The sequence below is a fragment of the Homo sapiens genome, chromosome 2 (genome assembly GCF_000001405.40).
Source record: "Homo sapiens chromosome 2, GRCh38.p14 Primary Assembly".
Lineage (NCBI taxonomy): Eukaryota > Metazoa > Chordata > Mammalia > Primates > Hominidae > Homo > Homo sapiens.
In genome coordinates this window covers 63,216,351-63,230,782 of record NC_000002.12, presented here as the reverse complement: position 1 = coordinate 63,230,782, position 14,432 = coordinate 63,216,351, and the positions used below count along the sequence as shown (strand labels likewise).

General features: G+C 35.6%; 1 protein-coding gene across 19 annotated transcripts in view, besides 1 other annotated feature; it reads left to right on the top strand.

Moving 5' to 3' along the window:
• Positions 1 to 14,432, top strand: part of WDPCP (WD repeat containing planar cell polarity effector) — a 721,268-nt gene that overhangs the window by 610,044 nt on the left and 96,792 nt on the right. The window lies entirely within an intron of this gene.
• Positions 11,443 to 11,643: a silencer, noted in NCBI's record as "peak3728 fragment used in MPRA reporter construct". NCBI's record gives its function as "represses an SCP1 promoter by STARR-seq MPRAs in K562 erythroleukemia cells {active_cell/tissue: K562}" and the evidence as "EXISTENCE:reporter gene assay evidence [ECO:0000049][PMID:32103011]".

Here is a 14,432-nt window from a genome sequence, read left to right as displayed (position 1 = left end):
ACCCCATCAAAAAGTAGGCAAAGGATATGAACATACACTTCTCAAAAGAAGACATTTATGCAGCCAGCAGACACATGAAAAAATGCTCATCATCACTGGCCATCAGAGAAATGCAAATCAAAACCACAATGAGATACCATCTCACACCAGTTAGAATGGCGGTCACTAAAAAGTCAGGAAACAATAGGTGCTGGAGAGGATGTGGAGAAATAGGAACACTTTTACACTGTTGGTGGGACTGTAAACTAGTTCAACCATTGTGGAAGACAGTGTGGCGATTCCTCAAGGATCTAGAACTAGAAATACCATTTGACCCAGCCATCCCATTACTGGGCATATACCCAAAGGATTATAAATCATTGCTGCTATAAAGACACATACACATGTATGTTTATTGTGGCACTATTCACAATAGCAAAGACTTGGAACCAACCCAAATGTCCATCAATGATAGACTGGATTAAGAAAATGTGGCACATATACACCATGGAATACTATGCAGCCATAAAAAAGGATGAGTTCATGTCCATTGTAGGGACATGGATGAAGCTGGAAACCATCATTCTGAGCAAACTATCACAAGGACAGAAAACCAAACACTGCATGTTCTCACTCATAAGTGGGAATTGAAGAATGAGAATACTTGGACACAGGGTGGGGAACATCACACACCAGGGCCTGTTGTGGGGTGGGGGGAGGGAGGATGGATAGCATTAGGAGATATACCTAATGCAAATGATGAGTTAAGGGGTGCAGCACACCAACATGGCACATGTATACATGTGTAACAAACCTGCACATTGTGCACACGTACCCTAGAACTTAAAGTATAATAAAAAATAAAAATAAAAACTAGTTACGCTTATTTTTTTTGTCTTTTTTTTTTTTTTTCCTTTTTCTGGAGAACAAGGCATCATGCTACCTGACTTCAAACTACACTACAAGGCTACAGTAACCAAAACAGCATGGTACTGGTCCCAAAACAGAGATATAGACCAATGGAACAGAACAGAGCCCTCAGAAATAATGCCGCATATCTACAACTATCTGATCTTTGACAAACCTGACAAAAACAAGAAATGGGGAAAGGATTCCCTATTTAATAAATGGTGCTGGGAAAACTGGCTAGCCATATGTAGAAAGCTGAAACTGGATCCCTTCCTTACACCTTATACAAAAATTAATTCAAGATGGATTAAAGACTTAAATGTTAGACCTAAAACCATAAAAGCCCTAGAAGAAAACCTAGGCAATACCATTCAGGACACAGGCATGGGCAAGGACTTCATGTCTAAAACACCAAAAGCAATGGCAACAAAAGCCAAAATTGACAAATGGGATCTAATTAAACTAAAGAGCTTCTGCACAGCAAAAGAAACTACCATCAGAGTGGACAGGCAACCTACAGAATGGGAGAAAATTTTTGCAACCTACTCATCTGACAAAGGGCTAATATCCAGAATCTACAAAGAACTCAAATAAATTTACAAGAAAAAAACAAACAACCCCATCCAAAAGTGGGCAAAGGATATGAACAGACACTTCTCAAAAGAAGACATTTATGCAGCCAAAAAACACATGAAAAAATGCTCATCATCACTGGCCATCAGAGAAATGCAAATCAAAACCACAATGAGATACCGTCTCACACCAGTTAGAATGGTGATCATTAAAAAGTCAGCAAACAACATGTGCTGGAGAGGATGTGGAGAAATAGGAACACTTTTACACTGTTGGTGGGACTGTAAACTAGTTCAACCATTGTGGAAGTCAGTGTGGCGATTCCTCAGGGATCTGGAACTAGAAATACCATTTGACCCAGCCATCCCATTACTGGGTATATACCCAAAGGATTATAAATCATGCTGCTATAAAGACACATGCACACGTATGTTTATTGCAGCACTATTCACAATAGCTAAGACTTGGAACCAACCTAAGTGTCCAACAATGATAGACTGGGTTAAGAAAATGTGGCACATATACACCATGGAATACTATGCAGCCATAAAAAAGGATGAGTTCATGTCCTTTGTAGGGACATGGATGAAGCTGGAAACCATCATTCTCAGCAAACTACCGCAAGGACAAAAAACCAAACACCATATGTTCTCACTCATAGGTGGGAATGGAACAATGAGAACACATGGACACAAGAAGGGGAACATCACACACCGGGGACTGTTGTGTGGTGGGGGTAGGGGGGAGGGATAGCATTAGGAGATATACCTAATGCTAAATGACGAGTTAATGGGTGCAGCACACCACCATGGCACATGTATACATATGTAACAAACCTGCACGTTGTGCACATGTACCCTAAAACTTAAAGTAAAATAAAATTTGAAAAAAGAATATAGAATCAATCAAAAAATTCAAAAAAAAAAAAAAAAAAGAAAAAGAAAAAGAACAAAATAAAACAAAAATAAAAGAATACCTCATCTCTTGTTTTGGAAGATCCAGCAACATATTACTGATTATAGTTAGGTGTAAGGATTTTTTTTCATGTGTTAATATTACTGAAAGTTGAATATATACTTCAAATAGTTTTCCTAAGCAATTGTGACTTGCTAATTTAAGAGCCTTTGAATCTTTTAAAAATTGGCAGTGATCTGATGTACATGACCTCCAGCAACTTGGAGATTTTCAGAAGATAAAAGTAAACTTTTTTCATTAAGAAAGTCATAGTTTGAGTCATATATGTTGAGCCTTCTAAAACTTCTTCCTGAGATGATAAATTATTCTTAGCAACTGATTTTGACTATTAAATGATACAAGTAGTAACATTTAAAGAAAGACTCTTCTCAACAAATTTTGCTATACTTGGTATGTAAATATGTATGCCTGTCATTTTTGTTTCCTTTGTTCCCTGTTAGATTTATACTCTGTTCCTTTGTAAATACAGTGTAAAATAAATGTACCTTTTGAACTTGAAATAAATAAAAATGGAATATTATCAAGGTTAGGGAATATAGGAACCAATCTTCATTAAAAATAACTACTATTAGCACATGCTATTTGCAAGCCATAATGCTAAGCTCTGTAATTACTATCATATTTCATATTTACAACTACAGAGTTAAATATTAGTTTTCCCATTTACAAATGAGGACACAGACTCAGACTGTCAGTGGCAGATTTTGAAACCATGCCTGTTTGACTACAAATCTCATACTCTAAATCACTTTACTAGTCTGCTTTTTAAGTCCACTGCCATTTCCCATATTTTTTACCACCATAATGTTGCATGTTACAGATTAGTTGTGTGGTTCTTTTTTAATTTTGGCATAGAAAAGATAGCAAGAAAGGTTTTCTTTGTCTTGTTTACCATATTATATTAACAATGCTACAAGCAAGTGCTTACACCACTTACATAGCACAGTGCAGCAAAGTAGCTTTGAGCCCTGTATCATACAATCACTGTAACACCTTTGCATGGTATCATACTGACAGGTTTTAATACTAATGTGGAACTGGAGGTTTTTACCTTAGACCTTGATCTAAGCAATTCCTTCAGTTATGAAATGGAAACTTCTACAATTCCTCTAGAACTAAAGGAAGTTGTTCATTCAGTGGGCATTTTAAAGCTATATTTATAATAAAATATGAGATAGAGGATAAAACATTGCTTATCATAGCTAAATAATTTACATTAATGGGGACTGTTAATTATGTGCATAGAGTGATTCCTTTTCCTTAGGAAAATTTTTTTCTACATTACCTGAATATCCTTCTGAGAGCCTCACTTTATTTTGCCTTATTAATCAAAAAAGAAGTGTTTGGAGCTATTCTAGGTTACTTAGATGTTCATAATAATGCTTTTTCATAACAAATCATGTGTTAAGTTCCATAAACACTTTCTGGCCAAATTTTCTGTTAACTTTCAATTAGTTCTTTCTTCTTTATTTTCTGGCTAAATTCCACTTACAGTAGATAGTTACCATGTTGTGCATAAGACTGCTTCCAAGAAAGAAGTAAAACAAGTTTGTACATGTACATTCATATGAAAAGACAAAATGTGAAAGAGAAACATAATATTTCTAGTAAAACTCTACCCTTATCTAGAATTAAGTATACTCATAAATGTATGTTCTACAGTAATACAGAGAGATTACTCTTCCATTATTTTGTAAAGTGTGTAATTTTTCCAAGCTAATAATCTAGGTATTTGAGATGCATTCATTTAAGCAGAAGGAATAGCTGGGAAATATTTTCATGTCAGGTGGTATGCATGCTAGGTTTTTATAACCTTTCTTCTGTTTATTCGATGTAAGGTAACTTAATGTGACAGGGTGTGACACATCACAAAGATGACTCAGGTCAGGAATTTCAAGAAATCTTGAAAACAATACCTTAAAATGATTTAAATAAATAGTATTTTAAGGTTGTATAGAATATATAGTCTTTTTTTTCCTATCAAAGAATTTAGTTCAAATGCTTAGGAAAATCTTTTACTCAAAAAAAGGAAAATATATGGCAATTGAAGGGAGGAATCCCTAGGTTTCTCTGGGTTAGAGTCCCTTCCAGCAGACACAGCTATTTAGTTAGAGTTTACACATTCCATTGTTGACCAAACCATTCTAGTAATAAAATTATGTTTTCCTCATCTACCTTTATTTTTCTAAAGCCTCTGCAGTATATTTAGCTGTCATCACAAACTCCTGTTCCAAAGCATGGGATTTCAACATAGAGTATGGGTAGATGAGTTGATAACAAGATTTGCTTTGGAAGAGCCAAATTTTGTTTCTATTATAGTGAATATACATATTGTAAGTGTTCAACTCAAAGAATTTTGACTAAGTGAACACACACATATAATTGGCATCCAGACCATGAAACTAAATTTTACCAGCACTCCAAAAGGCTCTTTTGTCCCATCTTCTTATACTGCAAAGGATTAAAGTTCCTGCCTTCTAATACTATAAATCAGTTTCACCTGGTTTTGGAAGAGAATTACACATCCTTATCCAGAAATAAGTTCATTCATAAATATATATACTGTAGTAATACACACAGATGACTATTTGCACCTTTCTGTGTGTTGGCAGAGGTAGATGAGGAAAACATAATTTTATTACTATTATGTTTGTGAAATGCACCCATATTGTTATGTATATTATCCCACTGTATACCACAATTTGTTTATTCATTTCATCATTAAGAAACATTTGGGTTGTCTCCAGTTTGAGGCTATTATAAATATTATCCTGCATGTCCTTTGTGAATGTATATACCCATTTCTTTTGGGTATAATATCTGGGACTTGAATTGTTGGGTCTTAGGGCATGTGTTTTTTCGGCTTTAGTAGATACCTCTTAGGATTTTTCCAGAGTAACTATAGCAATTTATGTTCTCACTGCCAATACGTGAGAATTCTCTTACATCCCCATCCTTGCCAACACTTGGTATCCTCAACCCCCAACCACCACTACCATTTTACTTAATTTGTATTTTTCTGATGATTCACAAAGTTTCTTTTTATATGTTTATTGGGAATTTGGATATATCTTTTGTGAGGTGCCCTTTCAAGACTTTTGCCTTCTGCCTATTGTTCTATAGAGTTATCATCCCTATTCTTACACTTTCCAAGAGTTCTTCATATATTCCTTATACAAATCTTTTGTTAAATGTATGTACTGCAGAACAACCCCAAAGTCTGAAAAGTATTTTTTCATTCCTGAGTATCTTTATAAAAATTATTTTAATAGGTTTCTTTTTTTTTTTTTAGTCATTGTAGGTTCACAGCAAAATTAAGCTGAAGGTACAGAGATTTCCCCTATAACCCCAGTTCCCACACATATAACAGTCTTCCCCTATAACAACATCCCCTTCTAGAATGGTACATCTGTTACAATTGGTGAGCCTATATTTATACATCATTATCCTCCAGAATAATAATTTAATTTACATTAGTGTTTGCTCTTTGTGTTGCATATTCTATAGGTTTAGACAAATATATGTACAATGACATATATCCACCATGTAATATCATATAGACTAGTTTCACTGTCCTTAGAATCCTCTGTGCTCTGCCTGTTCATCTCTCTCTCCTCCCTAGTCCCTGGTAACCACTGATGCTTTTATTGTTTCTATAGTTTTGTCTTTTCTAGAATGTCACATAGTTGGAATCATACAGCCTTTTCAGATTGGCTTCTTTCACTTGGTGATATGCATTTAATAAGGTTTCTTCATGTTTTTTTCATTGCTTGATATCTCGTTTACTTTTAGTGTTGAATAATACTCCATTATCTAAATGTACCACAGTTTATCTAGTCATCGACTGAAGAACAACTTGGTTACTTCTGAGTTCTGGCAGTTATGAATAAAGCTATGATAAATATCTGTGTGCAGGATTTTGTGTGGACATAAGTTTTCAGTTCCCTTGGGTAAATATCAAGGAGTGCAAGCATTGGGTCATACAGTATGAGTATGTTTAGTTTTGTAAGGAAGCACCAAACTTTCCTCCAAAGTGACTGTACCATTTTGCATTCCCACCATTGATGAATAAGAATCCTTGTTGTTCCACCGCATTTTATGTCATGAGTGTGCTAGATTTTGGCCATCCCAATAGGTGTGTAGTCATATCTCCTTGTTATTTTCATTATTGAAAATTGCATTTCCTTAATGACATATGATGTGGCGTATCTTTTCCTATGCTTATTTGCCATATGTATATCTTCTTTGGTAAGGTGTCTCTTTAGGCCTATAACAGTATTTTTGGTGTAAACTGACAACTGATTATAAGATGAAAATGGAAATGCAAAGGACCAAGAATAGTTAAGGCAATTCTGAAGAACAACAAAGCTGGAAGACTTACAGTGCTGGAAATCAAGAACTTTTACAAGTCTATAGTAATTGAATAGTGATATTGATGCAAGAATAGACAAACAGACCAACGGAAGCAAATAAGCCAGAAACACACCCCATATATAGTATGGCCATATGATTTATGACAAAGGTGACACTGTAGTGCAGAAGAGAAAGGATAATCTTTTAAATAAATGGTGCTAGGTTATTTGGATATCTATGTGATTAAAATGTAAGTTTTTAAACCCCCGCCTAATAGCATACACACAAAGCGATTCCTTATGGATTAAATAGTTTAGAAGCAGAGGGCCAATCTCCTGAAACATATTGCTGCTAGGTATTTACCTGGCCATGCTATAGCCCTGCCACCATATGCCACAATTGTAGTGAGTCTTATGTTTCGCAGAATTCACTCAATCCTTGCCCACTTACTGCCCTGGAATAAGGCCTCTTGTAAGCTCCACAGAAAAGCACAGACTGGATTATTACTATTTAGTTTCTCTTTGCCAGGGGAGCCTTTATGTAACTGTACGAATATTGCCTTTATAATGGCTAGTTTGTGAGTGCCAATCAGATTTTCACAACCAAACAATATGCTATCTCGGGATTCTCACACGTGAGGGTGGTAAAACGTTCTCTGATAATATCATTAGGTTAATGAAGAATCTAGGTCTTTGCTGATTGCCATCTGTGTATAAGAAATTATCCAAATAGTTGCAAATGCATTGCCCAATTTAGTCAAAACTCACCCAACATTCAAGTATGAATAGAATTCATAATCATATTTGATAGCAGGTGAGTTGTTTCGTCAAATAGGAATTGCTAGCTTTCTCATTTAAAATGTAAGACATCCTACATATAGACATATTTATATTTAGTACTGATACAGTCATATTTTGTTTAATTAAGGACTAAAAGATTATACCCATTTTATCTTATCTGGTTATAGATAATTGGTTTGTTAGGATCATTTTCCCATATTTTCTTATGTTTTATATCAATCAGGTATTCTTAACCCTCTTAGACCTTTTCCCCCTTTTAAAACATATTTCAAAGAAGATCAATTTTACTTTACTCAAATCGAACTCATAATGAACACATGTATATGTACACATATTATTAATGACAATGAAATGTCATAACTTTATAGAGAAGAGATAAATGGAAAATAATTTATAAGTTAAAAAAATAGATTCATGTAACAATTCTATACTAAAAGACATAAATTATTTAGTTGCTTATACCTGTACACAAAATCACAGTAAATGTTACAGCTACAAATGCAGCTGATACAGCTATGTGTAGTGCTGACTTAAACTATGATAAGCTTCACCTCCAGGCACTGCCTTAAGCATAGTCTGCAAACTACCTACCTAGATGTGCCATCTGCTCTATCCACTCCTAAAATTCTAACCAAATGTACTGCTTCCTATAGGTCTTCTCAGATGAGGAGACAGAGGAGTTACGTTGTCACCAGAACTGCAGGTGAAACACTAGGTGCTTGACATGATAAACAAACAGTGTATTTAATATCTAAGCCAGAGGCCCTTGCTCCCACATTCCTGATCTATGGCCACGCCAGTGTCTTGTTTTTTAAAGGTTGGGAGTTGAGGGAATCCTGTTGTGCTAAATCCCCACAAGTCTGATGGTAGAAGTTTTAAAGAAGCTAAACTTAAACAGTAGAATTGTAAGTGAGGAAGCCTTCCAGACACTGTTAAAAGTGTCTGTTACTAAAACTAACTGGTGATGTTCTTAAGTCCATAAAATGCTATAGGCACATTACAAAGGTTGGTCTGTAATATTAGGAGTAAACATATATATAGAGAGATGAAACTGCTTTCTCTCTTTAGCCTCAACTGCATATGAGTCTCTGTCCAGGCACAGGTGAATTGCCTGCAAGAGTACTACCACTGGACCAATCCCTAAAATTGTATCTTTGAGAGCCTGGTGGTGACTCTTATAAGTAATGTTCTCTCCAACTATGGGAAAGGATCCAACCCAGAATGGGACAGCCCGCACCCCTCCTCAAAGATATTTAAATGTTCCTAGGATTTGCAGGTTATTTCATCACCCATTTTTCTAATGTCATTGCCCTACCTGATGAACTTTCTCAAAAAAATACAAGGTTTTGCTTGAGTTCTGGTCATAAATTCTCTACACAATTTTAATTAACTGAGATAATTAGGAGGAAACAACAAGTGGACACCTACATATAGCAATGCCTGACCTAATGGAGAACCTTTTAGAGTCAAGCCCCTGAAGATAAGGAATGCAGGCCAGGAAATGGAGGGGAAGTTATCTACCAATACACCTGGTTCTATGTATCTTTTAAAAAGCTCCAGCAAAGCTTTACTTTTGTGATACATGTACCTCCAGCAAAGACCCACAACGTCCAAGAAGTTGCTACATCTGAACTGTCTTCTAAATACCTTTAGGAAACTGTTGCTATGGATGTTATAACAAACATGTCCTCTCAAGGATGACCTTTAATCCTGATAGTGGTAGATGTGCTTATCGAAATGGCTCTATTACCTTCACTGGGCCTATTGGCTCCTCTGTTCTATTAGTATATCATTCATCAAAGTTTTCTACCACTATTAACTTCCCCACAGCCTATTCCCTTATCCCACAGTTTATGTATGCAATTGTGGAAAGCATTACAAAACAGCTGCTTTAGCTGGAAGAATTCATATTCTTCTATTCACCATTCAGATGAAGGGAAGAGAAAACTAATACTACATGAATCCTGGAAAAATAGTTCTACAGCGACATATGATATAGACAACACTCCTGGTTCTCTTATCTCATTGTTGAAAAATAGGCATATACTATTCACAATAGCAAAGACATGGAATCAACCCAAATGCCCATCAATGATAGACTGGATAAAGAAAATGTGGTACATACACAACATGGAATACTATACAGCCATAAAAAGAATAGGATCATGTCCTTTGAGGGACAGGGATGGAGCTGAAAGCCATTATCCTTAGCAAACTAATGCAGGAACAGAAAACCAAATACTACATGTTGTCACTTGTAAATGGGAGGTGCACAATGAGAACACATGGACACAGGGAGGGGAACAACACACACTGGGGCCTTTTGGTGGGCAGGGGGAGGGAGAGCATCAGGATAAATATAGCTAATGCATGCAGGGCTTAGTACCTAGGTGATGGGTTGATAGGCAAACCACCATGGCACATGTTTACCTATGTAACAAACCTGCACATCCTGCACGTGTATCCTGGAACTTTAAATTAAATTTAAAAAAAGAAAAATATGCATATAATAATGTACTACATTCATTTATACATCACTGCATAGTAACTTTAACTTCCATACCTGCATTTTGTCTGCACTACTGGGTAATTTCACAAACCCTTGCCAATCGACAGCTAGAAAGAACTTCAGACAAAAAAAAACTACAACGACTCAGAGTAAACCTTCTAATATGCCAAGCAATAAACAGTAGTTATCAGAAGACATAATCCAAGTTGGAGACACCATTTTCCTCCAAAACATATCCATACTATCAATTTTAGCTAAACATTTCCTAGAGCCATTCAGGGTCACAGATGTAACCAACCACCTAATATTCAGCCTAGAGTTGTTTATGTTCAGTCAGATTTAGCCCCCTTCTCTTTTTCTGCTGATCCCTACTTCTCTCATTAAGTTCTCACCCCATTCTCCAATCCCAGAAGCTAACAAATTCTCAAAAACTCCATGGCCAGCTCTGAAATTGATGATAATGGGAATCAATCAGTTTTCTAAAACCAGAAAGTGCTAAAATACATGTGCAACTTTTATTGGCTTAAAATCTGGCTTCAGCTACCCAAATCTATGCCTTTAAGTTAAAACTTAAGGATGACATATTTCAGGTAGCAGAAGAAGGAGGTGCAGTCAATGTCGCCAAAGGCTTTTGTTGTTTGTTGTGTTTTTACTATACCTTTTTATTTTTTATTTTTTTTTGGGAGACAGAGCCTCACTCTGTCGCCCAGGCTGGATTGCAGTGGCGCGATCTTGGCTTACTGCAACCTCTGCCTCCTGGGTTCAAGCGATTCTTCTGCCTCAGTCTCCCGAGTAGCTGGGACTATAGGTGCTGCCACCACCCCCGGCTAATTTTTGTATTTTCAGTAGAGATTGGGTTTCACCATATTGGTTGGCCAGGCTGGTCTCGAACTCCTGACCTCGTGATCTGCCCGCCTCAGCCTCCCAAAATGCTGGGATTACAGGCGTGAGCCACCGTGTCCGGCCTGTTTTTACTATATCTTAATATGCATACATTCAGTGAAAATGATACATATTTTAATTCATTCACATTAGAATTTTTTAGATGTGTAAAAATTATAGAAAATGTTGGAAGCAAGATAAATAACCAAAGTTTTAACAATTTTGTTAAAATATTAAGTTTTTATCATTCTTACATCAATCACTTTAAGAAAATACAAGACTACTCTTTTAAATGGAAGAAAAGTATCTGCTTGAGGACTTCAACTTTAATCTGGGGTTTTCAAACACTGATATGGTTGCATGGCCTTTTAAAAGCCTTTGGGCACAAAACTGATAAAATGTGGTTTTACTTATTGGCATGCCTGTGCAACAAAGCATTTGAGAGGCATGACTGACAGGCCGGAAGTATGTATGAGGGAAAACCTATGCTTATGTCTGCTTCAGTGACTTTTTTAGCCACACCCTACTTGTAAATTGTAAACTGTCATTCAGAGTAGCATAGTGATGTTTCAAACAAGTCAGGTTATAATACCTCTACTTCTTTTGTCTTAATGCCCAGAGGTGAATTCAGAAAATGTTCCTATGTTTTGGCTCGTAAAAGCATCCATCTGGAAAATACTAAATAACAAACCCTAATAGTAAAGAGCATTGCAAAGATTTATGACACTATGCATACATGTAAATTGTATATTTAAACATCATAATTAGCTAACTCAGCCTTCATTGTAGTTCAGCACGTATTTCAGGTTGAGGACAAAGAAAAGCATTCTATTGTTTTGTGTCAGGTTTTAAGCCATATTTTAAAACATACTATTAACCCTATATACTGAATTAAAATTGCAATTAATAACAAAAACTTCATTGGAGATTTTTAGTATCTAAAAAGAACTATAGAACAATCTGTATTTTCGCTAGCTGCAGTGGCTCACACCTGTAATCCCAGCACTTTGGGAGGCCGAGGTGGGCAGATCATGAGGTCAAGAGATCAAGACCATCCTGGCCAACCAACATGGTGAAACCCTGTCTCTACTAAAAAAATACAAAAATTAGCTGGGCGTAGTGTCGCACGCCTTTAGTCCCAGCTACTCAGGAGGCTGATGGAGGAGAATCGCTTGAACCCGGGAGGCGGAGGTTGCAATGAGCCGAGATAGGGCCACTGCACTCCAGCCTGGGTAACAGAGCGAGGCTCCGTCTCAAATAATAATAATAATAAAATAAATAAATAAAAGAACAATCTGTATTTTAAAGCATGCTGTATTTTATGAGAAACATCCAATTTAACTTTAAGATATTAAACAGAAACACATATATGTTCCCATCATACTTTTCTTACAACTGTACAGTTCTGAACTGAAATAAGGCATGAAAACAAATATTAGTTTGACTTTTATTAATAGTGCTAATATCCCTTCCTGAATATAAGATAACGCTATCATATTTCTAATAAAAGTAATATATATTCATTTGTAAAATTCATACAGTACAGGAAAGCATAATATATTCAATAAAAATGCCCCATAATCCCCTCCTTCACTGACCAGAAACTTTACTTAAAACAAAATAATTTTTGTGGTCTAAATTTCAATAAGGGTAGTAATTCAAATGTATAGCTTTTAGATAAGTATTAAAGGTTTTAATCCATTTACCATAAATTATCAAATTGAATTCTCATTAGTACTCAAATTTTAAGGTAAAGAGCATTCTGTATAACTGCTCAGTAAATTAGTACTCAATAATGATACTTCAAATTTTTCATTTCTGAAGGATATCTCCACAGAGGCAACCTTAAGGGGACAACCTTAAATAGCCTAATCTTTATCAAGGAGTTCAATTGTGGGATTCTTGGGTTTTTCTTTTTGAGGTGGACCAAACTGCAAAATGATGTCTCAGGAACCCCATTTATCTGACAACTAAGAAAAGATAAACACCTGTAAGTCGATGTTTAAAGCCCAAACTAGTTTTGAAGTAACAAGAAAGAGAAAGCTAATAGTTCAAATTTCAGTCGCTTTTCATCTAAACCCATCAATGTGTGCACTGGTCCATTAATTATGTGGCTCAGCACAAAATGATATGTTAGTCTTCCCTTTTACTCTAAGATGACAGCTGAGAGGTAAAGTTTTAGTTCAGGAGAAAGAAAGCTATTTCAAATACTTTATTTGTTGGTCTCAAGAATGTACCTAAATCATGAATGAAAATGAAAAATTTTCCTAATTGAGGATCAAACCAATTATTTCTTTGATCACTCTGTTAGAACCTAAATAATACTAAGGTCAAGGATTTAAAACTCATGATACTAATACACCCAGCTTTTCCAGATTAATGAAATATTTTAAAGCAGAGGTAGGCAATTTATTTTTCTGTAAAGGGCCAGATAGTATTTTAGGTTTTGTGGGCCACACAGTTTCTGTCACAACTACTTGACTCTGCCCTTGTAGTCCAAAAGCAGCCATAGATGATAGATAAATGAATAATCAAGGCTGAGTTCAATAAAACTGAATTTATGGACATAAATATAAATTCTATATAACATTGACAGATCTCAGAAAATTCTTTTGATGTTTTTCCAACCATTAAAAAGTAAAAACCATTCTTACCTCAAAAGTTAAAGACTAACAGGCATCAGCCTGGATTTTGTCTGAACTTAGTTTGGTGAACCCTGTTCTAACAGATTGTTTTGGTTCTTGATTTATAGACTGTACCTATGCTTCAAAGGAAAAACGTATCACTGAGGTATTTTTTTAAATTTTGTTTAAAGTATTTGATAGGTTCAAGAATCCTACCAATTGCCAGAATAATTATTGGAAGTAATGCCATTTAAAATATTTCTTTCAGGTGAACCCAATTCAGTGTCTTTAGACCACATTTTCATTATAGTAGTCCTTAGTAGAAAACATCAGTTTTCAGTATAAAACCTTTTGTTCCATTTACTTCATTAAAAAATTTCCTAAGCTAATAAATTTTTAGGAAAAAAATTAAGTTTGGCCATGTTCTACATTAACTATTTTATTTATTTTTTTTTAGTTTTTTTTTTATTAAACTTTAAGTAAGTTCTAGGGTACATGTACCCAATGTGCAGATTTGTTACATATGTATCATGTGCCATGTTGGTGTGCTGCACCCATTAACTCATCATTTACATTAGGTATGTCTCCTAATGCTATCCCTCTCCCCTCCCCCAATACCACGACAGGCCCTGGTGTGTGGTGTTCCCCATCCTGTGTCCAAGTGTTCTCATTCTTCAATTCCCACCTATAAGTGAGAACACATGCGGTGTTTGGTTTTCTATCCTTGTGATAGTTTGCTTAGAATGATGGTTTCCAGCTTCATCCATGTCCCTAGAATGGACATGAACTCATCCTTTTTTATGGCTGCATAGTATTCTATGGTGTATA